We start from the raw sequence: 27,467 nt of genomic DNA, 5'->3' as shown, positions 1-27,467 counted from the left end.
TTGAAGGTCAGGTTCCTCCTTCCTCTGAATTGGGTCAGTCAGTGAACCTTCTTGCTGTCCCCATGAAGGGTCCCTGTTAGGTCTCACGGCAGCCCGGATCTGGAACAGCCCTGTTCTATTCTTGAAACAAACACCCAGTCGCTGTGGTGTTGGTGGGAGCAGCAGTTGATTCTAATGAGGGTTTGAGCCACCCCTCTATCCTCTTCCCAGTAGCACCGAGCATCTCACTTCTCAGAGCTCCTTCATCCTTCTTGACTCTCTTTCTTCTCTCTTTTCCAGTGTCCCGTCTCTCAGTGGCTTACTTCGTTCTTGTTTCTCACAAGCCAGCCCTGTGTCTCCTTTTTCTTATGTACACGGATTCCATTTTCCCCATCTCCAGAGTAGACCTTTTGCACTTCTGATGATTTGGCTAAGGCTTTGCTGTCACTGCCTGTAAGGATCTACCAGATTAAATCCTTAAATCAAGACCACCCTACTCCCAAGCATTTGTCTTGCAATTGGGAATGAAGGTGAAGGTGGTTTCCTTATTCCACCTTCCCCTGTTATGGATGGAATGAATGGAAGTACCTAGTATCACAGGAACACCGAGGTTGGGGGAGGAGCACTGCCCCAAGCAGGTTACACGGAAGCAAAGACCTGAAAGGGTGACTAGGAGGATGGAAACCAGATCCTAACTGAGAGGAAAAAGGTTTTTTGTTTTTTGTTTTGTTTTTCTTGAGACAGAGTCTCACTCTGTCATCCAGGCTGGAGTGCAGTGGCGCCATCTCGACTCACTGCAGCCTCAACCTCCCAGACTCAAGCAATCCTCCCACCTCAGCCTCCCAATAGCTAGGACTACAAGAGCACGCCTCCATGCCCAGCTTAATTTTTAAATTTTTCTTAACGACGAGGTCTCCCCGTGTTGCCCAAGCTGGTCTATGACTCTATTTCTTTCTTTCTTTTTTTTTTTTTTTGTTTATTTGTTTTGAGACAGAGTCTGACTTTGTCACTCAAGCTGGAGTGGGGCAGTGGGGCGATCTTGGCTCACCACAACCTCCTCCCGGATTCAAGTGATTCTCCTGCCTCAGCCTCCCAAGTACCTGGGATTACAGGTGCATACCACCACTCCCAGCTAATTTTTGTATTTTTAGTAGACACGGGGTTTTTACCATATTGGCCAGCTGGTCTTGAACTCCTGACCTCAGGCGATCTGCCTGCCTCAGCATCCCAAAGTGCCAGGATTACAGGGGTGAACCAGCACACCCAGCCTATGACTCTATTTCTTGGGCCCTGCCCTTAAGGGGTATTGTGACATACCTCTGGATTAAACATTTAGGAATGTGACTTACTTCTGTTCCCTAGGACCTGTCTACAGGCAGCAGTGAAACATATTTCTGAGCCCATCACATGGGTAATGTGACTCTCCCCTTTTAGCCCTGCCCCAAGTGAAGATTGTGACATATCACCAGGCCCATTATCTAGGCGATATGACTCTTCTCTCCTGCCTGGGCCCTGATTACAAAGGGGATTGTGAAAATCACTGGGCCCAGCACCCAAATAATATGACTTTCCCTTTCTGCCTGGGCCTTGTCTACAGAAAAGACTAAACCATATCACGGGGCCAAGCACCCACATGCCTGCCTGCATTCTGCTTACAGTGGGTATTGTGACATATCCCTGGCACAGAACCAAGGTAACGTGACTCACCTACCTGGTTCCTGCCCACTGATGGGATTGACATATATCTAGGCCCAGCTCACAGGCATGATGATAACTGTCATAGATGGACCCAGCCAATAAGAGAGATTTTAATTGTAGTTAGGCTTATTACAACAGGTATGCTCCTGAGTATTCTACATGTAGAGAGGTCACAGACTATTAGGATGCTCATGCATATTTTACAAAGACCTTGGGTGGTACAAAGATGTTGTAACAGGCCAGTGCACATGTGAAATTGTGACTCCCATAGGTACACCTAGCCAACAATTAAGATTTTCACCCTCAACACATGCATACAGCCCACTCTTGAGGTTCTCAGTCTCAAACCTGGGAGATTCACTCTGTCGCCCAGGATGAAGTGCAGTCTCACCATCTCTGCTCACTGCAACCTCCACCTCCCAGGTTCAAGCAATTCTCCTGCCTCAGCTCTTGGACAAAACTTCAGCATTCCTGCTAGGGTGTCTCTGCCCTACTAAGACACTGTGTGCAGGTGGAGTTGAAGCTCTTATGTATGGATCCTGTCCACTGTTGAGATTGTGAATTGCATGCATAGACTCAACTCACAGGAGACGTTGACTCCCATACCTCCAGCTGGGACATTTGCAAGATTAGAAATTTTATTTCTGGATCTTTCTGCAAGTGCGATTGTGACATCTACCTTTGCCTAGCACCTGACTGCTTTTACTTTTTTGCCTGGGCCCAGCCAATAGTTGAAATTGTGACATATACTTGGGCTACATAGGTGATGTGATGCTCCTGCCTGGGCCCCGCCTTCAGGAGAAATTTTTACATATCTCTGGGCCAATCACCTAGTGATGTGACTCTCCCTTTCTTTCTAGGCTCAACTTATAGAAGGCATTGTGACAGATCTCTGGGTTCATCACCTAGGAGATGTGACTCTACACTCCCAGCTGGGCCAAGCCCCACTGAAGATTGTGACATATTAATGAGCCCATAAACTATGTGACATGACTCTGCTCCCTGGCCTAAGCCAAGATTAAAGGGGACATTGAGACATAATGCTTTGCCTAGCACCTACATGATGTTGACTCTCTTTTCCTGCCTGGGCTCGGCCTACAGAAGAAATTGTTCATATCACTGAGCCAAGATCCCAGTTGATGTAACTCTCCTCCTGGGCCCTGCTCACAAGGGAAATATTGGCATATTCCTTGCCTAGCACTAAGGTGATGTGAACTTCTGCCTGGTCCCTGCCCATATGTGAGATTGTGACATACACTTAAGCCCAACTCACAGGCATAATGATGACTCTCTTACCTGGACCAAGACAATAGAAAAGATTTTGACTCTTCCAAATAGTCTTATGGTAATAGGCAATCTACTGGGTCTTTTACTTGTAGTAAGGTCAGAGATTACAACACTCATATGCATATTTTATAAAGTTCCTGAGTGGCACAGAGAGTGTCATAACAGGGCTCAGCACACAGATGGGACTGTGACTCTCATAGGCACGGCCAACAGTCAGGATTGTCACTTTGCCACATGGACACAGCCCAGTCACTGCTGAGCTTCTGAATCTTCTGCTCAGAGACAGTCAAAAGTTGGAACTGTGACTCTTATATGTGAATCTGTTCCACAGAAAAAGATGATGACTTTCATATATTCAGCACACGTGTGAGGCTGTTACTATTCTACCAGGAAAAGGTCTGCAGGGGTCTTGGGGCTCTCATGCAGGAATCCAGATCACCACTGAGATTCTGACTTGCAAACTTGTACCCAACTCTCAAGTGTTTACTCCCATACCTGGTGTTGGGACCAATGTGAGATTGTGAATCTAATCTCTGGACATTCCTGCAGGTGTGATTGTGACATATACCTTGGCCCAGCTCATGATATTTGATTATTTTGCCTGGATAAAACACACGAGACAGTGACATATATTTGGGCTACACCTTGGTGATATTACTCTCCTGTTCTTGGCCCTTTTCTTTTTCTTTTTTTTTTTTTTTTTGAGACGGAGTCTCGCTCTGTCGCCCAGGCCAGACTGCGGACTGCAGTGGCGCAATCTCGGCTCACTGCAAGCTCCGCTTCCCGGGTTCACGCCATTCTCCTGCCTCAGCCTCCCCAGTAGCTGGGACTACAGGCGCCCGCCACCGCGCCCGGCTAATTTTTTGTATTTTTAGTAGAGACGGGGTTTCACCTTGTTAGCCAGGATGGTCTCGATCTCCTGACCTCATGATCCACCCGCCTCGGCCTCCCAAAGTGCTGGGATTACAGGCGTGAGCCACCGCGCCCGGCCTCTTGGCCCTTTTCTTAGGGGAAATTTGGACATATCTCTGGGTATATCACCTGGGTTATGTTACCATCTTTTTCTGCCTGAGTGTGGCCCACAGGGGAAATCATAGTATATTTTTAGACCCATCACCTAGGTGATGTTACTCTTCCCTTCTGCCTGGGTCCTGCTTCCAGTAAGAATTGTAACATATCGCTGGATCCTGCACCCAAATGATGTTACCCTCCTGCCTGGGCCATGCCGACAGTGGGAATTGTGACATTTCTGGGCCCAACATTTAAGCGATGTGACTATCCTCTTATGTTCGCAGCATGTGTTGTAACATATCACTAAGCCCAGAACTCAGGTGATGTGGCTTTCCTGCCATGGCACTGCACACAAGGAGAATGCTGACATATCCCTGGCCCTGAATTCAGATGATATGACTGTTTTACCTGATCCACACTCTGAAGTGAAATTGTTACATATACCCAGGCCCAGTTAGCAGACATGATGATGACTCTCATACATAGACCCAGCAAATACAACAGATTTTTTACTCCCCTGGCTAGATTTAGGGACACAGGTAAGGGTCTGCATTTCCTTATAAAAGGTCACAGGAAATATGACATAAATATTTTATAAAGTCCATGAGTTTTATGAGCTGTGTCATAATGCAGTCCAACAAGCAGGAGAGATTGTGACTCTCATAGGCACATCCAGCCAACAATGGGATTATCACTCTTAAACCTAGACACAGCCCACTGGTGAGGTTATAAATCTCACATATGGATGCAGACCACAGTTGGAATCGTGACTGTCGTATGTGGATGTGGCCACAGGTCAAAGGGGAAGTCATTTCTTGACTAACTCACAGGCACAGTGTTGTCTCTTATACTTGGACCAAGCTAATAGAAGAGACGTTGTCTCACTGTTACGCTTGGGAAAATGGGGATGGTTCTGGGTTTTCTAACTGTACAAAGGTCACAAAAAAATCACAACACTCATGCGTACAGTATAATGCCCTATTATACTGTACGCAACTTTGTATTGGGCTGTGTTGACACTCTCTGTAATACTGTAATACCTGACCACAGGTAAGATTCTGACTCATTTCTGGGCCCAGCTCACAAACATGGTGATGACTCTCATACCTGGACCCAGGCAAGAGAAAATGTGTTAACTTCTGCCTGGGCTTAGGGTAACGGGTAAGATCTTGGATCCATAAAAACATAAAGTTCTCAGAGCAGAATTCCACTCTCAAGCATGTTGTGTGAAGATCTCAAATGGTACAAAGAGTGTCATAACAGAGCCAAAAACATAGAGGAAATTGTGAATCTCCTATGCATACCTAGCCAACAATAAGGATGGTCACTCTCCCATATGGACACAGCTCACTGTTGAGGTTCTGAATCTCATGCCCAGAGGCAATGAAAAGTTGAAAGTTTGACTCACATACATGCATCTGATCAACAGGTAGGATAGTGACTCTGAGACCAAGATTCAGCACCCTGGTGAGGCTGTGCCTATCTTATGAGGACTCTGTTTGCAGGTGGAGATGGAGCTCTCGTGCACGGATCCTGTCCAGTGTTAAGACTGTGTCTCGTGTATTTGGATGCAACTCACCAGAAGTGTAGACTCTCAGACCTAAAGCTGGGAAATACGTAGAATTGTGAAATTTATTCCTGGTCCTTCCCGCAGGTGTGATTGTGGCGTATACTTTCACACAGCACCTAATTTATTTTACTAATTTGCTTGGGCCCAGCCAACAGTTGGGAATGTGACATATACCTGGATCAAGTACCTAGGTGATATAACTCTCCAGCCCAGGCCTTACCACAGGGTACATTGTGACATATCTTTGGACTTATCACCTATGTGATGTGACTCTACTGACTTGCCTTGTCTTGGCCTCCATTGGGGATTGTGGCATATTTCTGTGCCCAGTACCTAAGTTATGTGACTCTTCTTTCCTGCTTGTGCATTTAGAAGGGATTGTGACATATTGCTGGGCCAAGAACCTAGGTGATGTGACTCTCCTGCCTTGGCCCTGCCTTCAGGAAAAATTGTGACATGACTCTGGGTTTATTACCTAGGTGATATGACTTCCATTTCCTGTGTGGGCAAGGCCAAAGGGGTCACTGTGACATACCTCTGGACACCTCACAGAAGTGGTATAACTTTTCTCTCATTCCAGGACCCTGGTCTCAGTAGAAATTGTGAAATCTCTCTGGGCCCATAACCTAGGTAATGTGACTCTCCTGTCCTGCCTGGACCCTGCTTACAGGCAAGTTCATGACATTTGGCTGGGTCCATCACCTAGGTAATGTGACTCTGCTTTTCTTCCTGTGCCCTGCCACCAGTGAAGATTTTGACAAATTTCTGGGCCAATCAGCTGTGTGATATGACTCTGTGCTCTTTCCTGGGCCCTGTTAACAGGGAGCATTGTGACATTGCCAGGCTCAGCAGCTAGGTAATGTGATTTTTCTTGCTCTCTGGGCCCTACTTACAGAAGGGATTGTGACATACTGCTGAGCCAAGAACTCAGATGATGTGACTCTCCTGCCTGTGCCCTGCCTACAGTGGGCATTGTGACATATCACTGGATCTAGCACCCAGGTGATGTGATTCTCCTGTTTTGTTCTTGCCGGCAGGTGAAATTGTGGCATATACCTGGGCCCAGCTCACAACCACAATGATGACTCTCTTACCTGGACACAGACAGTGGGAGATATTTTGACTTTTGTAGCCAGGCTTAGGCCATAGGTAATGTCCTGGGTCTCCTACTTGTATAAAGTTCACAGAACATTACAACACTCAGGACTATCATAGGAAGCCCTAGAGTGATAGAGGTGATAACAAGGCCTAGCTAACAGCTGAGATTGTGACTCTTGTATGCAGACCCAGCCGACAGACTCTTCCTCATTCTTACAGATAAACAGAGCCTACGAATGAGGCACTTAATCTCACACATAAAAACAGTTGCAAGTTGGATTTATTACTCTCATATGTGGATCTGGTTTCCAGGTGGTTTGGTGACTCTCGAACCATGATTCGGCAGACCTGTGAGGCTGTGAGTTCCCTATTGGAACACAATCTGCAGGTGAGATTGGGGCTGTTGTGCATGCATTTTGTGCATTGTTGAGACTGTATCTCCTTTACTTGAACCCCACTCACAAGAGGGGTTGCCTCTCATACATGAAGCCAGGACTCGTGTGAAACTGTGAAACTCATTTCTGTACATTCCCAAGTGTGTGATTGGGAAATATACCTTTGCCCAGAACCTGAGTGATCTGACTGTTTCCTAGGCCCAGCCCACAGATAAAATTGTGACATATACATGGACCACCCACCTAAGTAATGTGAAACTCCTTCCTGGGCCCTGCCTGCCAAGGGCATTTTTACATTTCATAGCAACCAGCATCAACCCAGGTCCTGTGACTCCCCTGCCTGCTCCCTGCCTACAAAAAGCATTGTGACTTATTTCTGGGTTCATTACACAGGTGATGTGACTTCTACTGCCTTGGCTCTGCACTTAGAGTGCACTGTGACATTTAGCTGGGTACTGCACCCACGTAATGTGACTCTCCTGACTGAGTTCTTCCTACAGGAAGCATTGGAACATATCACTTAGCCCAGCACCTAGGTGATGTGATTCTCCTCTTGCCTAGTTCCTGCCCACTGGAGAGATTGTGACCCATTGCTGAGCCTGGCAGCAAGGTGATGTCACTCTCCTGCCTTGGCTGTGCCCATGGGGGCCACTGTGAAACCTGTCTAGGCTAATTACTTAGGTGAAGTGATTCCCCTTTCCTGCCTAAGCTCTGCCTACAGGGGGGATTTTGATATATCACTGGGCCCAGCAGCCAAGTGATGTGACTCTTCTGCCAGGGTTCTGCCTACAAGGGGGATTGTGACATATTTCTGGACCAGCACCCAAGTGATGTGTCTTTTCTGGCCTCTTCCTCCCCACAGGTTGTATTGTGCCATATACCTGGGACCAAATTACAAGCACAATGATGAATTTTTTACCTGGAGTCAAGACATGTGCAGGATGGTGGAACTTATCACTGGACCTTTCCACAGTGTTATTATGACATATAACTTTGTCCAACATGTGAGTAATTTGACTCTCCAGATGGCCCAGTTCACAAATAAAATTGTGACAGATACCTGGGCCAAGAACCAAAGAGGTGTGACTCATGTGCCTGGGCCCTGTTCTCAGAAAGATAGTGATATTACACTGCACCCAGCACCTAAGTGATGTGATTCTCCTCTTCTACATGGGGCCTGCCTACAGCAACACTTGTGACATATCAATGAGCTCAGCACTTAGATGATTTGACTATCCTTTTTTTCTGGGCCCTGCCCACATGGATAATTGTGACATATCATTGGCCCCAACAATTAGGTGATGTGACTGTCTTGTCTGGGATCTGTCAACAAAGGGCATTCTGACATACTTCTTTTCTTTTTCTTTTTTTCCCCAGATGGAGTCTTACTCTGTCGCCCAGGCTAGAGTGTAATGGTGTGATCTTGGCTCACTGCAACCTTCACCTGGAAGGTCAAAGTCATTCTCTTGCCTCAGCCTCCTGAGTAGCTGGGACTACAGGCATGCTCCACCATGCCCAGCTAATTTTTTTGTATTTTCAGTAGAGACAGGGTTTCACCATGTTGGCCAGGCTAGTATTGAACTCCTGACCTGTTGCGGGAAGTCAGGGACCCTGAACGGAGGGACCAGCTGGAGCCGCAGTAGAGGAACAAAAATTTTGAAGATTTCATTTTAATATGGACATTTATCAGTTCCTAAATAATACTTTTATAATTTCTTATGCCTGTCTTTAATCTCTTAATCCTATTATCTTTGTAAGATGAGGATGTATGTCACCTCAGGACTACTGTGATAGTTGTGTTAACTGTACAAATTGATTGTAAAACATGTGTGTTTGAACAATATGAAATCAGTGCACCTTGAAAAAGAACAGAATAACAGTGATTTTTAGGGAACAAGGGAAGACAACCATAAGGTCTAACTGCCTGCAGGGTTGGGCAAAAAGAGCCATATTTTTCTTCTTGCAGAGAGCCTATAAATGGACATGCAAGTAGGAGAGATATCACTAAATTCTTTTCCTAGCAAGGTTTTAATATTAATATATTAAAACCCTGGGAAAGGAATGCATTCCTGGGGGGTGGTCTATAAACATCCACTCTGGGAATGTCTGTCTTCTGTGGTTGAGATAAGAGCTGAGATATGCCCTGGTCTCCTGTAGTACCCTCAGGCTTACTAGGGTGGGGAAAAACTCCACCCTGGTAAATATGTGGTCAAAGCAGTTCTCTGCTCTCAAACTGTTTTCTGCACATCATGGTGTTTTTCCATGATGTGCTCTTTCTCTTAAAAAGACCTCTGATTAAGTTTAGTCTAATCAAGATAATCTCTTTTATGATAAACAGGAAGCCAATACATTAGTAACATAATTACATGAATAATGTCCCACCACAGTCACACATTTTGTCACACTCAAGAGAAAAGGATTACATAGCAGGTGTGCAGTGAAGTGGGAATCTGAGGGTCACTTGAGAATTTTGCCTACCCACTTGAATAGATTTCAAAAATTGCCTTTCAGTTGCTTTTGTTGTCTTTCTAAGTAAACAAAGATATCATCTGCAAATAATAATTAATTGAACTACTTTTCAATTTTATTCATGAATTACTTATCTTTTTCTGGCTTGTATGAAGTATTTCTTATTTATAGTATACATTCACATATATACATATATAACAATACAAATGTATCCATTTTCATTTTTGTTAAATTTTTAAGAATGGATGTTAAAGGTAACTTCTTTTCTGTTTGACAGGGTTTTTATTGTTGTATTCAAGAGTATTATCTCTGGAGTCAAAGTTGCTTGTTTTTTAATACTGGCTCTGCTATTATTTCTCTCCCTGGCAAGTTATTTCTCTCCCTGGCTCTGTTTCTTTCTTTGTAAATTAAAGATAATAATGATACCTTTGTTATTAAGTTACTGTGTCTAATAGTCCATTCTCACATTGCTATAAGGACACACCCAAGACTAGGTAAATTATAAAGAAAAGAGGCTAATTTGACTCACAGTTCAGCATGGCTGGGGAGGCCTCAGGAACCTTACAATAATGGCAGAAGGTGAAGGAAAAGCAGGTATCTTTTTCACTTAGTGAAGAACAGGAAAAATTACCACTTATAAAACCATCCAATCTCATGAGAACTCACTCACTATCATGAGAACACCATGAGTATCATTCTGCCCATGGCCCCTTCCAAATCTCACACCCTTTATATATTTCAAAACCAAACATGCTTTCCCAAGAGTCTCCCAAAATCTTAACTTATTTTAGCATCAACCCAAAAGTCTAACTCCAAAGTCCAATCTGAGACAAGGCAAGTCCCTGCTACCTATGAGCCTGTAAATCAAAAGCAAAGTAGAAACTTCTAAGATACAGTGTGGGTACAGGCCTTAGATAAGTTATCCCATTTCAAGTGGGAGAAAATGGCCAAAACCAAAGAGCTACAGGCCTCATGCAATTTTGAATTCCAACAGGGCAGTCATTAAATCTTAAAGCTCTGAGATGATCTCGTTTGACTCCATGTCTCACATGTGGGGCATGCTGATGCAAGGGGTGGGCCTCATGACCTTGGGCAGCTCCTTCATGGACTGGAATTGAATGCCTGTGGCTTTTCCAGGTGCACAGTGCAAGCTCATGGCGGATCTGTCATTCTGGGGTCTGGAGTATAGAGGCCTTCTCACAAGTCCAGTAGACAGCTTCAGGGGGGACTCTGCATGAGGGCTCCAACCCCACATTTCCCTTCTGCATTGCCCTATTACTGGTTCTCCATGAGGGCTCTGCCCCTGTAGAAGACTTCTGCCTGAACATCCAGGCATTTTTATCCATCCTCTGAAATCTAGGCAGAGGTTCCCAGAGCTCAACTCTTGTCTTATGTTCACTGACATGCCCAATACCACATGGAAGCTACCAAGGTTTGAGGATTGCACTTTCTAAAGAAATAACCCAAGCTGTACCTTGGCCCTTTTTAGCCACAGCTGGATCTGGAGCAGCTGGGATGCAGGGCACCAAGTCCCAAGACTTCATAGAGTAATGGGGCCCTGGACCTCGAACATGAAACCAGTGTTTCCTCCTAGGGCGCCTGGCCTATGATGGAAGGACCTGCCTCAGACCTTTAACATGACCTGAAGACATTTTCCCCATTGTCTTGGCTATCAATATTCAGCTTCTCTTTACTTTTGCAAATTTCTGCAGTGCCTCGAATTTCTTTCCAAAAAATGGGGTTTTATATTCTAAATCATGATCAGGCTGCCAACTTTCCAAACTTTTATGTTCTGCTTCCACTTTAAACATAAGTTTTTCATCTCCATCTGAGACCACCTCAGCCTGGACTTTATCATCTATATCACTCTTAGCATTTCAGTCAAAAGCATTCAACAAGTCTCTAAGAAGTTCCAAACTTTCCCACATTTTTCTATCTTTTTCTGATCTCTCTAAACTGTTTCAACCTCTGCCTATTACCCATTTCCAAAGTCACTTCCACATTTTCAATTATCTTTATAGTGCCCCAAACTCCCAGTATTAATTTTCTGTATTAGTCTGTTTTCACACTACTATAAAGATACTACCAGAGAATGGGTAATTTATACAGAAAGGAGGTTTAATTTACTCACAATTCTGCATGGCTGGGGAGGTCTCAGGAAACCTGCAATTACAGTGGAAGGTAAAGGAGAAGCAAGTACCTTCTTCACTAGGCAGCAGGAGAGAGAGCAGAAAAAAACCACCAGTTATACAACCATTAGATCTTTTGAGAACTCACTTACAATCATGAGAACAGCATGGGGGAAAATTACCCTCATGTTCCAATCAACTCCCACCAAGTCCCTCCCTTAACATGTGGGGATTACAATTTGTGATAAGATTTGGGTGGGATATGATTTTACAGTAATGAATTCAATACAAGACACAGAATATAGGTTTATTTTTTTGAGGATCTCTGAGGTTTCCAGGTTTTTTGTTAATTATCCACCTTATTAAAATATTCTTTTTTGTTTCAATATTGTTCTTCTGTTCTGAAAATGCATACAGACTCACACACAAACACACTCACTTGCTACATAACTTTCTTATACATAGGGTATATCTTTTTTTTTTTAAACGGTGTCCTGCTCTGTCATCCAGGCTGGAGTGCAGTGGTGGCATCTTGGCTCACCGCAACCTCTGCCTCCCAGGATCAAGTGATTCTCCTGCCTCAGCCTCCCTAGTAGCTGGAAATACAGGCACGCATCACCACGCCCAGCTAATTTTTTGTATTTTTAGTAAAGATGGGGTTTCACCATGTTGATCAGGCTGGTCTTGAACTCCTGACCTCAAATTATTTGCCCCACTAGGCCTCCCAAAGTGCTGAGATTACAGGCATGAGCCACTGTGTCTGGCTGATATATCTTTAGAGAAATATGTTTGTATATGTAACTCTATGTAAATCAAAACTAAAAGTCTGTTTTTGTTTGTCAGCAGAGAGGCACATGTACAAAAATACATATAAAACAAGTTTTTAAAAATATTTAATCAAGACTCAGAAATGTATGGATATTAATTATAATCATGTAATTTTTATGATCATAAAATGACCCTGTGGTTAATAATTCAATTGCACATATTGAAATAACTAAAACTGTATAATGGGATTGTTTGTAATACAAAGGATAAATACACGCTCGTGATGAGGAATACCTCATTTACTCTGCTGTGATAATTAAATAATATATGCCTGTGTTAAAATGTCTCATATATGCTGTAAGTGTGTATGTTGGGAACAAGCTCCCCAAAATCTGGCCATAAACTGGCCATAAACAAAATCTCTGCAGCACTGTGACATGTTCATGATGGCCATAAAGCCCACGCTGGAAGGTTGTGGGTTTACAAGAATGAGAGCAAGCAACACCTGGCCTGCCCAGGGCGGAAAACCACTTAAAGGCGTTCTCAAACCACAAAAATAGCATGAGCAATCTGTGCCTTAAGGACATGCTCCTGCTGCAGATAACTAGCCCAACCTATTCCTTTAATTTGGCCCATCCCTTCATTTCCCATAAGGGATACTTTTAGTTAATTTAATATCTATAGAAACAATGCTAATGACTGGCTTGTTCTTAATAAATATGTGGGTAAATCTCTGTTCGAGGCTCTCAGCTCTGAAGGCTATGAGACCCCTGATTTCCCACTTCACACTTCTATATTTCTGTGTATGTGTCTTTAATTCCTCTAGTGCCACTGGGTTAGGGTCTCCCTGACTGAGCTGGTCTTGGCATGTGTATGCACGCTAACTACCCACAAAATTTTTTTAAAAATCTAAATAGGGTAAAAAAGAATACAAATTTGATTTATGAGAACAAAATTCTTCAACTTATTTTCAGTTTAGACCACTGGCAGGCCAGGTGTGGTGACCTCCGCCTGTAGCCCCAGCACTTTGGGATGCTGACGTGGATGGATTACCTGAGGTCTGGAGTTCAAGACCAGCCTGGCCAACATGGTGAAACCCCATCTCTACTAAAAATACAAAAATTATCCAGGCATAGTGGCATGTGCCTGTAGTCCCTGCTACTTGGCAGGCTGAGGCAGAAGAATCACTTGGACCCAGGAGGTAGAGGTTGCAGTGAGCTGAGATCATGCCACTGCACTTCAGCCTGGATGAAAAAGTGAGACTCCATCTCAAGAAAAAAAAAACTGTTTTTAAATAAATTCTCTTAGGTTCATTATGCTTTGAGGGTTGGTTAAAGGCTTTGTTACATTTTTTTACATTTATAAGATTTTTGTCCAATATGAATTCTCTTATGTACAATTAAGGTATGGAACTAGATAAAGGCTTGGCCACATTCTCTACACTTGTAATGCTTTCTTTCCAGTATAAATTATTTTATGTATTATAAGGTCTGAGGGCTGGACTTTGCCACATTATTTACATTTGTAGGGTTTCTCTCCAGTGTGAATTATCTTATGTTTAGCAAGACTTGAATGCCACTTAAAAGCTTTGTCACATTCTTCACATTTGTATGGTTTCTCTCCAGTATGAATTCTCTTATGTGCCTTTACAGTTGAGGAGCAGTTAAAGGTTCTGCCACATTCTTCACATGTGTAGGGTTTCTCTCCAGTATGAATTATCTTATGTGTCTTAAGAGTCGAGGAGCAGTTAAAGGCTTTGCCACATTCTTCACATGTGTAGGGTTTCTCTCCAGTATGAATTCTCTTGTGGTAAATGAGGGCTGAGGATACGCTAAAGGCTTTGCCACATTCTTCACATTTGTAGGGTCTCTCTCCAGTATGAATTCTCTTGTGGTTAGTAAGTGTTGAGGAGCGCCTAAAGGCTTGGCCACATTCTTCACATGCGTAGGGTTTCTCTCCAGTGTGAATTCTCTTATGTCTAGTAAGGTTTGAGGGCCACCTAAAGGCTTTGCCACATTCCTCACATCTGTAGGGTTTCTCTCCAGTAAGAATTCTTTTATGTGTAGTACCGCTTGAGGAGTGGTTAAAGGATTTGCCACATTCTTCACATTTGTAGGACTTCTCCTTAGTATGAATTATCTGATGTTGATTTAGGTGTGAAAACATGCAAAATGATTTGCCATATTTTTTACATTTCAAATGTTTCTTTCCAGTATATCTTGCATTGTGTCTATTGGAATTTGAAAATTTACTGAAGACTTTGACACATTTATGAGTCTGAAATATTTTGTTTTGGGTATTTGACAAACATTGGTTAAGGTCATTATAACCTCCTTTGTGCACCTCACACTCATCTACTCTTTTACAACATTTTTTTAATTGTAAATTCTCATGTCCACATTTTCCATATGTTCTTGGTATTACTTTTTGGAGTGAATCTTTTATGCTCTGCTCTGGCTGAAGGTCTTGGTTGAAATGAGAACATGTAACTGAAAGACATAAAAATCACAAGTTACTCCACTTACTAGACTCAGATAAATATACTGTACAAATCAAATATATAAAATTGTTCAAGGTACATTAGCAAAATGGCATATCAAAATACCACAGGCCATAATTCCTTCATAGATATATAAATGTAACAAAATCATAGTTATCAAAATACCTTTGTTGGAAGTTTATAAATAAAGTAAGTGTGTGCACCATGTGACCACAATGTCAAGAACCATATATAGAGAAAAGTCTGCTACATTTACCCAACACAGCCCTTCCTCATCCCCAGTAGAAGAACATGGTGCCTTTAATGACAGCTTTAAGTTTTCTGAGATCAAAAGTGAGTGTTACAACAACAGAAAGACTGCACTATCATGGACAGAAAATAGATGTAGAAAGTGGTTACTGACCAGTAAGGAGAAATATGAAGAAGTCTTAACTGAAAAATAAATACAAAATTGCAGACAAGACACATCTTGAGAACATGTTTGCAAGACTCCCAGAATCTCTACCCAAGACAATTGCTTTCAGGCTATGCCAAGAAAGAGCTGCATTACAAAGATTGTGAAAGGTAGTTTTATGTTAATGTCTAAATCTCAACCAAAGATTATAATGTATACAAAATATTTGGGCAACATGGTCCAATCAAAAAAATCAAAATTTTCGAAAAGCAACTATAAAAATAAAGATGTATATATTAATTTTTAAAATTTAAGATAATCCATATTTTGCTCAATGAGAAAAAAATGGAAAACCAGACATCAGATAAATGAGAATGTCAACAAAATGGTTGGAATAATAAAAATAAACAATTGTGGACATAGAAAAGAAAACTGAAATAATTTAAAGGTAAGAAAAAAGTAATGTAACAAATGAAGAAGTTAAACAAACAAACTAGGATATACACAAAAAGATCCATAACACATATTTAAGCAAAGTTTCAAAAATCACAAACCAGAAGATAATGTTTGGAGCTGCAAGATAAAAATGAGGTATTATTTATAAGCCTAGTCCTCCGAGACAACCAGTGAATTTGTCAACAGAAACATTTCAGGTCAGAAAAGAACTGTGTAAAATGGTCAAAGTGCTGAAAAAAAATCTTCACAGTGAAAATATAACCAGCAAAAATGTACTACAAAATAAAGAAAAAATAAAGATCTTCCAGAATAAACAAATGCTGGAAAAGCATATAAGCACTGCATGTGCCCTAAATAAAATGCTGAAAAGAGGTCTTTCCACTTCAAATAATATAATGAAAAAAGATCATATGAAAATACATAACTTTCTGAAAAACATATGCATATACAAAAAAATAAAATTCTGTGGCATTATTGTGATTGTACAGAAAACATTTTTAGTTATTCTTTAAAATTTGAAAGATATAAGCATAAAAATAATCATAAAACATAAAAAGATACAATTAGCAAGATCAGTAAGAAGCACAGGGTAGATATAATGAGGACAAATTTTTCTATGCAACTGAAGTCATTTTTTTTTACCAATGTAAAATATACTATTGTAACATTAAGAGGTTTTATAAAATCTCCAATGTAGCACAAAGAAAAAATCTTTATAGACACACAAAAGAAAATGAGTCCATTACTAGCATGAGACAAAGACTGATATTATATAATAGTAAAATGAGTCCATTTACTAGGAATCTGTAACTATTATGTCTATCTATATGCATATGCATATATAACATCAGGACTTCAAAATATATAAAGCAAATATTGACAAAAATGAAGCAAGAAATAAAATAGCAACATAAAATTATAAACATTAAGACCTCACTTTCAATAATAAATAAAAAATTTAAATAAAAAATCAATTAAAAAAAACAGAAAACCTGAAGAACATTGTATTGTATATGAATTCATTTTGCAATGCTATAGAAAACAACCTGAGAAAACAATGCTATAGAAAACTTTTATAATGAAAAAGACTTCTTTGGTTCACAGTTCAGTAGACTGTACAAGAAGTATATGCCAGCATCTGTTTCTGGTGAGGATATGAGGAAGCTTGCAATTACAGTGGAAGGCAAAAAAGAACCAAACATGTCACATGGTGAAAGATGATGCGAGTGTGAGGTGGAGGAGCCAGGTTCCTTTAAGCAACCAGCTCTCATGTGAATTAATAGTGTGAGAACTCTATGATTGTGCCAAGTCATTCATGAGGGATTTGTCTCCGTGATGCAAACAGCTCTCATTAGGCCCCACATCCAACAGTGGAGATTACATTTCAACATGAGATTTTGAGGGCACCTACACCATATCACAAACCAAATAGGCTAAACAGACATGTACAGAACTCTCCAGTCAAAAGCAAGTGGATACACAATATTCTTATTTGCATCTGGTACATTCTGTTAGAACACATAAGTCTTAGTAAATTTAAAAAGATCAGCCAGGTGCAGTGGCTCACAGGTGTAACCCCAGTACTTTGGGAGGCAAAGGTGGTAGGATCATTCAGGGCAAGAACTTTGATACCAGCCTTGGGAACACAGTGAGACCCTGTCTCTACAAATAATTGAGAATTAGCTGGGTATGGTCGGGGTAGGTCTGTAGTGCAAGCCACTCAGGAGGCCAAGGTGGAAGGATTACTTGAGTCCAGGAAGTTGAGGTTGTGATGAGCCAAGATTGTGCTACTGCACTACAGTCTGGGCAACAGAGTGAGAAACCCTGTGTCAAAAAAAAAAAAAATTTAAGAAGAGCAAAATCATGCAGTGTATGTTTTCTAATCAAAGCTCAATAAAACTAAAAAGAAAAAAGTAAAACTGGCAAATCAAAAATATATGGAAATAAACACACTCTTCAATGTATTCTTGCACAGGGTCAAATAATTTAATTTAACCTAATTTAATATTTTTGCTCAAGGCTCAACATATTTAAGTGACAACTTAATTTGTTAAGATGTCAATATATCCCACAGTGGTGAACAAATTTAATATAATCTATATCAAAATTCCAAAAGTATATTTATTATTGAAATATTGTTTAAATTTTTTTTTTTTTGAGATGGAGTCTCACTCTGTTGCTCAGGCTGGAGTGAAGTGGTGCGATCTTGGCTCACTGCAAGCGCCACCTCCTGGGTTCATGCCATTCTCCTGCCTCAGCCTCCCAAGTAGCTGGGACTATAGGTGCCCGCCACTACACCTGGTTAATTTTTTGTATTTTTTAGTAGAGACGGGTTTTCACCTTGTTAGCCAGGATGGTCTTGATCTCCTGACCTCGTGATCCACCCGCCTCAGCCTCCCAAAGTGCTGGGATTACAGGTGTGAGCCACCACGCTTGACCTAAAATTTTTAAATTTTATTATGAACTATATCTAGAGAAACACACATGAAAAACAGAGGCATTATACTTCATGATTTCAAAACATAATAAAAAGCAACAATAACAATAACTATGTGGTATTCACACAAAGACAAATAAAGACATGATAGAACAAAATAGGGAGCCCAGCAATGAACTCTTCTGTGTATGACCAAATAATCTGCCACAAGGTTGCCAGGAGCAGACAATGGAGAAAATATAAACCCTTCAATAGATAATGTTGAAAACTGGATATCTACATTGAAAAAATGAAGTTGGATGCTTTAATTGCACCATATACAAAAAATATTTTAAACAAAATACTTGGACTGAAAAAAAAAAATGAAACTCTTAGAAAAAAATATAGTGGAAAGACATGACATTGGTCTTGGCACCATTTTCTTAGACATGTCATCAAATGCATGAGCAACAAAGAGAAGAACAGGAAAATTTAACTGGGCTAAACTTCAAAATTTCTGCAATCAAATAAAACATTTAATAGAGTGACAGTGTCACCCAAGAAATGGGTGACAATATTTGAAAATCACATGTGATAAGGCTTAATATTGAAAATATATAAACGACTCCTAGAAGTAGACAACAGTAATTGAATTACTTGATTTAGAAATGCACAAATGAACCGGGTGCAGTGGCTCACTCATGTAATCCCAGAACTTTGGGAGGCTGAGGTGGGCAGATCACCTGAGGTCAGTAATTCGAGACCAGTCTGACCAACATGGCGAAACCCATCTCTACTAAAAATACAAAATTAGCTGGGCATGGTGGCACATCCCTGATCCCAGGTACTCAGGAGACTGAGGCAGGAGAATCATTTGAATCTGGGAGGCAGAGGTTGCTGTGAGCCAAAATTGCCCCATTGCACTCCAGCTTAGGCAACAAGAGAAAAACTCTGTTTCAAAAAAAAAAAAAGAAAAAAGAAATGGACAAATGATTAAACTAAATTTTAATAAAAAGATATACAAATGGGAAGAAGTATTTGAAAGGTTGCACAAAATTAATAATTTATAGAAAAATGCAAAATAAAATAACAATACAAAACAAAATTACCTTACATCAATTAGGATGACCACTATAATTTTTTTTTAAAACACCAACTATGTTGATGATGTAAAGAAATTGAAACCTATGAAAGTTATTGATGAGAAAAAAGATGCAGCCATCATAAAAAATATCATGAATGTTCTTCAAATAATTAAAAATGAAATTATTATATAATACAGCAATACCATTTATGAATCTATATCTAAAATATGCAACAGAGTAAAATGAAGACATGAGGTACCCTGCTTGCATATCCCCCTACAGCAAGTATCGTAACCCACCCTTTAAATAAATAAATACGTATATAAAATTAAAAAATAAAAAAATTGTAAAAAACTTTAAACTATATTTCAAGGCTACAGTAATAAAAACAGAATGGCATGTACAGAAAAATGGACAACCACCAATGAAACAGAAATTACTATTCTCACACATTTTAGACATGATGCAAAAAGTTTTTTAAATGGTTTAACATAGAGTTTCTCAAAAATATGCAGATATTAGTGTGTCCCCAAAAGCAATGGCAAAGTAGTCAGTTTGTGCAGTCCCTGATAAGCCATAAAGAAAACTTTGGCTCACACTGTGAACCTGAAGAAAGATTATTGAAATGAAAGTAGAATCCTTAGAGAATTTAACAGCATGGGGCAGAAGGTGTCCCAATGTGAGAGCAAAAAAATAAAAAAAATAAAAAATAAAAAATACTCAAGCTTCTCAGAAACTCTTTCCATAAAAGCACAGCTCTGCAGACCACATTTTAAAGACTGGCTACCTCCTTGACTTGTGGACATCTCATCCGTGTCATCTGCTTCATTTGCTCTCACCTACCTGGGTGTTTGGCTGCCATCTCATTTCTCTTTATATTCTGGGGCTCTTTATTTTGCTCCAGACAGGCGATCAAGTCTGGCTTAGAGACAGTCATACCTGTTTTATTAAGAAAAAAAAGTAACTTAAATCTTATTTATTTATTTATTTTTTGAGATGGAGTCTCACTCTGTCGCTCAGGCTGGAGTGCAGTGGCATGATCTCAGCTCACTGCAACCTCCACTTCCCAGGTGCAAGCAATGCTTCTGCCTCAGCCTCCTGAGTAGCTGGGACTACAGGCACATACCACCACGCCCAGCTAATTTTTGTATTTTTAGTAGAGACGGAGTTTCACCATATTAGCCAGGCTGGTCTCGAACTCCTGACCTTGTGATCTGCCTGCCTCGGCCTCCCAACGTGCTGGGATTACAGGTGTGAGCCACTGTGCCTGGTCATGTAAATCTTGCTGAATTCTTTAATTACCAAACTAGTATTATGCTCAGTAAAAAGGATATAATAGAAAATTCTAGAAAATTAATATTATTTGTAACAGAACTTTCTCAATATTTAGAAAATATTTTAAATTTGTAAGTCCTTATTTTCACTACTCAGTACTACTGAATCAAACATTGTTGGTGACAACTGAATTCTAAGGTGTTGGCAACGCTATTTTATGCCATGACATTTTTGGAATTGCCACTAACCTAGAGCAAAAGATACATAAGCTCAGGAAAGGGAAAAGTTCAGGTCAAGATAAAACATCTTGAAGAATTTAATCTACACCAATGAATCCCCAAGATTTTCTTTAAATCGGAGAGCTAAAATTCATTCATGCAAAGCAGAAATTACCAAAATCATCTTAGAAAAGAGAGAACGGCAATATATTAGGAATTATGTATTGAGGTTAACCTCACCCAGGGAGAACAGGTTTCTGTAGTTCTCTAACATCACATCTCTATATAAATTCTGCTGAGCATGATCCAGGCATTGCCACTCCGCCAGAGAGAATTCTATAGCTATGTCTCTGAATGTCAACAGTCCCTGAAAAAAAAAAAGAAAAACCTCATGAACACACACTTACCATATGGCCGTAAGCAGAGATTTTTATTTGACTCAAGTTAAAAAAGAGAGTAAAAAGAAGTGTTTCTCACTTACAAGAGTGACTGAAATTACTCAGTAAGATAATTTTTAACATGGAAGTATTCTCTAATTCTGAGAAAAGAGGAGAGCATAAGATTCACAATACCACAGTAGCTTTGATAATTTTCTGGATGATAAATTATAAAATTAAGGGCATCAACATGGACTTGTCCTTCTTTTTTCTTTTCTTTTTTTTTTTTTCTTTACCAAGTCTCACTCTGTTGCCCAGACTGGAGTGCAGTAGCGTGATCTTGGCTCAGTGCAACCTCCGCCTCGGGTTCAATCGATTCTCCTGCCTCAGTCTCCCGAGTAGCTGGGAATACAGGCATGGGCCACCACGCCTGGCTAATTTTTGTATTTTTAGTAGAGAAGGGGTTTCTCCATGTTGGCCAGGCAGGTCTTGAACTCCTGACCTCACGTGATCCACTCACCTTTGCCTCCCAAAGTGCTGGGATTGCAGGCATGAGCCACCTCACCCGGTCGGACATGTCTATTTTTCAGTGCTATATTTACATCATACAGAATAAGCTGTGTATATTTCTCAGATAAAACAGTCATGATGAGTTGGAAGGTACCTCTTAAGTCTAAATATGTGCAATAAACTAAATATTTTGTTGTGAGATTTTGTTTCAGGAGATTTGGGATAAAGTCTGAATTTCTGAATTTTTAGCAAGTTCACCAATGTTTCTAGCCTAGTAAGAATATTTTGTCAAACATCCAGTAAGTGGCAGTCTGGGTTTTCCCCAGTTTCTCTCACCTGTAAATAAAGATAAGAGCCTTCAACTTTAAAAGACAAATATATGCAAAAGTCATCTAAAAAGAAAGGACAGCTTCCAGATTAAATGTGATCGTTTATGCACTTCGGCTAGTAAATCTCCTAAGTGTACTTAATAATTAAGAGAATAATAATTAACTCTATCGTGGAAAAAATGTCATAGAGATCTTGAACCAAGTGAATAAAATTGTTATCACCTTTATTAGGACACATTTTTATTATGTGCTGATGCACACACAACACAACATCACTGCTGTGGTATTTCTCTCCTCTCAGAAAAGTAAATTATAACTACATTTAAATAAATAAATATATATATATATATATTTTTTTTCTTTTTTCTTTTTTTTTTGAGATGGAGTCTTGCTCTGTCGCCCAGGCTAGAGTGTAATGGTGCAATCTCAGGTCACTGCAACCTCCGCCTCCTGAGGTCAAGCAATTCTCCTGCCTCAACCTCCCAAGTAGCTGGGATTACAGGCGCATGGCACTACACTTGGCTATTTTTTGTATTTTTTTAGTAGAGACAGGGTTTCACCAGGTTGGCCAGGCGGGCCTCGAACTCCTGACCTCATGTGATCTGCCTGCCCCAGCCTCCCAAAGTGCTGAGATTACAAGCCTGAGCCACCGTGACTGACCTAAATTTAATTATAAAGAAACATCAGTTTTATGCAAAGTTGAAGGTACAGATAACTTCCCTGTTGTGTAATTTTTAATAGTAATTTTAAGTAGTCTTTGTTTAGCACCCTGGAGAGCAAGTATCTCCTAATAGTTTTTTCAGAACTTTCTGGGTAATACATGCCATTCTGTTTAAATGAACATTTTCTAAACCCTGTTCTGCATGGAACTAATAGAGCACACAGATGAAACCTCAACAAGGTATGTTTCACTTTTCACTAATATCCAAAGACAACTGTGTTTCCTCAATAGAAATCTTGAGTATTTACACCTTCTCATGTTCAACAGCTACAATGGGAACATTTTAAATATTGCAGGTTATAAATTTGTAGTGAGAATTCTGCATTGCATATAAGAATCCAAGATGAAGAGAATGTATAGAACGCTACAGCATATAGAAAAAAAATATTTTTTTCAGAACCCCTTGACTATCATACAAATCACAAAAAGTAGTTGAAACAAACTCATTAGGGATCAACAGTACAAGTACAGAAGTAAAAATTTGCAATTTCCAAACAGATGGCATTCCAAAAGGCAGAGTGGACACTGCTCTTGATCTGAAACATGCTCACCTGAGAAAAAGTGATTTTTTTCTTTTCCTCCTCTTTCTCTGAAATGTATTTTCAGGTAAGATGCTCTGGACATATCAAACCTGCATCTTGAGAATATGCCTTTAAAGCACAACCTATTCACCTGCTACCACCACACACACCCAAGGGCAGAAAGACCGAGACTTGCAGAAAACATTCACCCATTTTTGTTGTGTATAATTGAAAAGATTTAAGAGCAATGAGAGAACAATGAGCTTCTCCATAACTAATAAAATATAAGTTTCTTTTTCCCTGCCCTCCCCTATCAGACTCCAGCAATCTTCTTTACAGTAATGGGAGCACGAACCGCACTGACCTCTTCCTACCAAACTGAAACAGGGCAGGCAGTGCAGCCTTCCTTTGATGCAAAGGTTGAACTAAACTCTCCTGAATGTATCTTGAACCCCTCAAGTTTATAAATCACTTGGTAATCTTGGCCCTGCTTTATGCAAAGTGATTCTGCAGGATCCAAAAGGGTCCAGGAATGGGCTTTTTCAACAAGTCCCCTGTAAATGCTGATTGTGCTTTCCCAGACACATTATTAGCATTAGCGAGAGAAAGCAGGCACAGCAAAGAGTCCCTTACACCCACCAAATTTGTCACAAAACAAATACATCTGGTACAAATAAAGACAACCAATCACCATGCTGAAATGCTATATTTTTTTGTTGGCTTTTTTAAGTTTACAGAGAAAACAGAAGGCAGCAATATCTGAGTAAATCTGCACCTGGAAAACCTGCACACATGTACTAATAAAATGTTTATTAAGCAGGTACTATGTGCTCAGGAGCATATCACAGAACACTGTGCTGGGAATAACACATTTTGTGATTTAATTTTCATAGCACCCTGGGAGCTGGTACTAAGTGTTGAATAATTTTTAGCATTTGGATTAAGAGCACAGCATTTTTATTTATTCTTATGTTTCTCTATCATTAATTTTAAAAAGAAAATATATAGAATAATAATTCAATACAAAAAACATACAAAATGATGAAATTACATAAAAATTGAATAATCAGCTTCCAAATGGCTGTTTTGTAAATAATGAAATTAAGGCAGAAATAAAATTTTTGAAACTAATTAGAGATTAAGTACAACATACCAGAATCTCAGGGTTACAGCTAAGGCAGTGTTAAGAACAAAATGTATATCACTAAACATCACATCAAAAAGTTAGAAAGATCTCAATTTAAAAATCTAATGTTACAATTAAAAGAATTTCAAAAGAGCAAACCAACTTCAACACTCGCAAAAGTCAAGAAATAACCAAAATCAGAACTGAAATGAAGAAAGTTGAGACCTAAATAACTAAAAAAAGTTCAACAGGCCATGCACTGCGGCTCACTCCTGGAATCCCAGCACTTTCAGAGGCCAAGGCGGGCAAATCACGAGGTCAGGAGTTTGAGACCAGCCTGGCCAAGATGGTGAAACCCCGTCTCTACTACAAATACAAAAATTAGCTAGGCATGGTGGTACATGCCTGTAATCCCAGGAGAATCGCTTGAAAAATGGAAGGCGAAGGTTGCAGTGAGCCGAGATCACGCCACTGCACTCCAGCCTGGGCGAAAGCGAAGCTCCGTCTCAAAAAAAAAAAAAAAGTTCAACAAAACCAGAAGTTGATTCTGTGTAAAAATAATAAGATAGATAAAACACTAGAGTAATGAAGAAAAAAGAAATAATTCAAATAAAAACAATTAGACTAAAAAGTCAAAAAAAAAAAACGGAACAGATGCTTGTGAGGTTGTGGAGAAATTGAATGCTTATACGCTGCTGGTGAGAGTATAAATTTGTTTAACCATTGAGAAAAACAGTTTGGCATTTTTTCAAAAACCTGAAAACAGAATTACCATTCCCAGTACCACAATTGGGAATACACCCAATAAATGTAAGTTATTCTACCATGAAGACACATGCACGCATATGTTTATTACAGAAAATGATTCACAATAGCAAAAACCAGAAATAAACCTGTATGTCTTCAGTGGTAGACTGGATAAAGAAAATGTGTTACATAAACACCATGAAATATGATGCGGCTATAAGAAAGAACAACATCATGTCCTTTGCAGCAACATCGATGGAGCTGGAGATTTATTTTTAGAAAACTAGTGCAGGAGCAGAAAATCAAAAACTGTATGTTGTCACTTGTAAGTGGGAGTGAAATAATGAGAATACATGGATGCAAATAAGAGAACAACAGACACTGAGGCTCAGTTCAGGGTGGAGGGTCAGAAGACGAAGAAAATCAGAAAACAAATCTGTTGAGTACTATGCTTAGTACGTGAGTGATAATATAATCTGTACACAAAAACTTCATGATATGATTTTACCTATATAACAAACTTGCACATGTACTCCTGAACCTAAAATAAAAGGTAAAAGAAAAAAAACTTGACTGAGTGTGGTGGCTCATGCCTATAACCCAAGCCTGTTGGGAGGCTGAGGCAGGCAGATCACCTGAGGTCAAAAGTTCGAGACCAACCTGGCCAACGTGGTGAAATCCCGTCTCTACTAAAAATACAAAAATTAGTTGGGCGTGGTGGCCTACACCTGTAATTCCAGCTACTCGGGAGGCTGAGGCAGGACAATCATTTGAACCAGGAGGCAGAGGTTGTAAAGAGGTGAGATTGCACCACTGCACTCCAGCCTGGAGGACAGAGTGAGACTCCCTCTCCAAAAAAAAAAAAAAAAAAAAAAAAAAAAAACATTTATTGGAGATTACTATCTTGAAGAAAATATTCGGGCCTAGGCAACCACAATCTGCCAATGAATCTCTGATGACATAACCAATAAATTTTCACCTGGATCTTCCAAGTAAAAACACTAAATAACTGTACCAAACCAATTATTGCATTTGGTTTGCTTCATCATGCAACTTATAACAGACTTTTCTTCAAGTCTCTCCCATGGATCACAACCCACAAGCCATAGCTGGGCGCTCTATGGTTCTTCTTTTTTTTTTTGAGGTGGAGTCTTGCTTTGTCGCCCAGGCTGGAGTACAATGGCGCGATCTCGGCTCACTGCAACCTCCGCCTCCCGGGTTCAGGTGATTCTCCTGTCTCAGACTACCGAGTAGCTGGGACTACAGGCACGTGCCACCACACCCAGCTAATTTTTGTATTTTTAGTAGAGATGGGGTTTTACCATGTTGGTCATGCTGGTCTCGAACACCTGACCTCGTGATCCGCCCGCCTCGGCCTCCCAAAGTGCTGGGATTACAGGCGTGAGCCACCGCGCCTGGCCCGCTCTATGATTCTTGAATCACGTTTTGATTAAATTCTCTAATATTTTTACAGTGACTCCCACACATCTCTAAAAGGAAAAATGAGGAACTAGGGACCCCAGGGACCACAGCTCTTACCACTTATGAATCCTGCACCCTGTGTCAGGATTCTCCCCTGATAACTTTCCCAATCCCTGTACAATCTGGATGAGATGAGGCGCTGGGAGTGCAGAGCTGCCCAGAGAGGGCTCCAGCCCAGGGCAAAGCCACTGCAGAGGAAAAAGACAGAACTCCCAGGGTCCCAGCCGCTGGCCCAGGCACCATCTTAGGGCTGGAGGGGGCTAACAGCCGAACTGGGCCAAGGAGGATTTGGGTCCTCAGACTCCGGAGCTGACTGCGAGGAAGTATGGGTCCTGCTGCAGCCACTTTCAGCCGGTTCCAACCACCTCCCACCCCTCTCTCACGATGACAGACCCAGCACTCACCATTTCTCGGCTTCCAGGGGGTCCCGGTCTTTTAGCCATAAATCTGCGGATACCTGCAGGACACAAGGCCACAGTGGCTTGACCTCTAAGAGCAGAGGACGCAGAGCAGTGAAGAGAAGAACTGGAGCTCTGGACGCAGAGAAACACAAAAGGCCCGGTAAAATTACGGAGGCGTCCTGTTCTCTCCAGCTGCATGCCTGATTATACAGTTTCTAATATATGGCCCCTGATGGGATAAGGTTTCAGGCCCCACCCTTCACGCCCTGAGTGACGGAATATTTGATCAGACGCTAGGCTGAATGAAGCAAAAATAACAGCCTAAGCTGCACCCTTTACAGGCAGGGCTTCTTCCCTGATCTGAGCCAGGCCAACACCAGAGGATATTTGCATTTAACCTTGTGTATAACGTCATATGCATTTATAAATGATATATAATATAGTTATTCACAAATTGAAATAATATAATGACAATTATTTTAAAATTTCGGATTTTATGACCTTC

At 40.6% G+C, this 27,467-nt stretch overlaps 2 protein-coding genes and 1 long non-coding RNA gene across 5 annotated transcripts in view, besides 1 other annotated feature; 1 reads left to right on the top strand and 2 right to left on the bottom strand.

Moving 5' to 3' along the window:
- ZNF679 (zinc finger protein 679) overlaps positions 1-5,733 on the bottom strand; it is a 38,458-nt gene extending 32,725 nt beyond the window's left edge. Inside the window, exon 1 of the mRNA NM_153363.3 lies at positions 5,555-5,733. The gene's annotated coding sequence lies outside the window, so the exon portion shown is untranslated. The remainder of the gene's footprint in view (positions 1-5,554) is intronic.
- An 852-nt stretch (positions 5,734-6,585) lies between these two features.
- LOC105375319 (uncharacterized) lies at positions 6,586-8,456 on the top strand. 3 transcript variants are annotated; one of them, XR_927576.1, is made up of 4 exons: positions 6,586-6,694; positions 6,956-7,031; positions 7,901-8,042; positions 8,416-8,456. It is a non-coding gene; the product is annotated as an uncharacterized LOC105375319 (long non-coding RNA). The 3 variants fall into 3 exon arrangements; XR_927575.2 differs by lacking the exon at positions 8,416-8,456 and having other exon boundaries at positions 7,901-8,090; XR_002956507.1 differs by lacking the exon at positions 8,416-8,456 and having other exon boundaries at positions 6,863-7,031; positions 7,901-8,090.
- A 5,460-nt stretch (positions 8,457-13,916) lies between these two features.
- ZNF735 (zinc finger protein 735) lies at positions 13,917-27,004 on the bottom strand. Its single transcript, NM_001159524.1, has 4 exons — positions 26,966-27,004; positions 20,989-21,115; positions 20,099-20,194; positions 13,917-14,893 (listed from the first exon to the last, which is right to left on the bottom strand). The coding sequence occupies exons 1-4, from the start codon at positions 27,002-27,004 to the stop codon at positions 13,917-13,919; spliced, it is 1,239 nt and encodes a 412-aa protein (NP_001152996.1).
- Positions 18,108-18,377: a silencer, noted in NCBI's record as "fragment chr7:63676208-63676477 (GRCh37/hg19 assembly coordinates)". NCBI's record gives its function as "represses an EF-1alpha promoter that drives an FKBP-Casp9 reporter gene in an ReSE screen in K562 erythroleukemia cells {active_cell/tissue: K562}" and the evidence as "EXISTENCE:reporter gene assay evidence [ECO:0000049][PMID:32094911]".
- Positions 27,005-27,467: the final 463 nt, after the last annotated feature.

Source organism: Homo sapiens, chromosome 7, assembly GCF_000001405.40.
Source record: "Homo sapiens chromosome 7, GRCh38.p14 Primary Assembly".
NCBI lineage: Eukaryota > Metazoa > Chordata > Mammalia > Primates > Hominidae > Homo > Homo sapiens.
Note: the sequence above shows the minus strand (reverse complement) of the source record. Positions and strands in the feature narration are given on the sequence as shown.

What these genes read in the sequence shown, in the direction of transcription:
- ZNF735 (NM_001159524.1), bottom strand. Translation starts at nt 27,004, where the DNA reads ATGGCTAAAAGACCGGGACCCCCTGGAAGCCGAGAAATG. An exon ending in CAGAAACCTGTTCTCCCTGG is followed by an intron (nt 20,195 to 20,988) that starts GTGAGGTTAACC and finishes TTAATAAAACAG; the next exon opens with GTATGACTGTCTCTAAGCCA. An exon ending in GATGGCAGCCAAACACCCAG is followed by an intron (nt 14,894 to 20,098) that starts GTAGGTGAGAGC and finishes TATGTCTTTCAG; the next exon opens with TTACATGTTCTCATTTCAAC.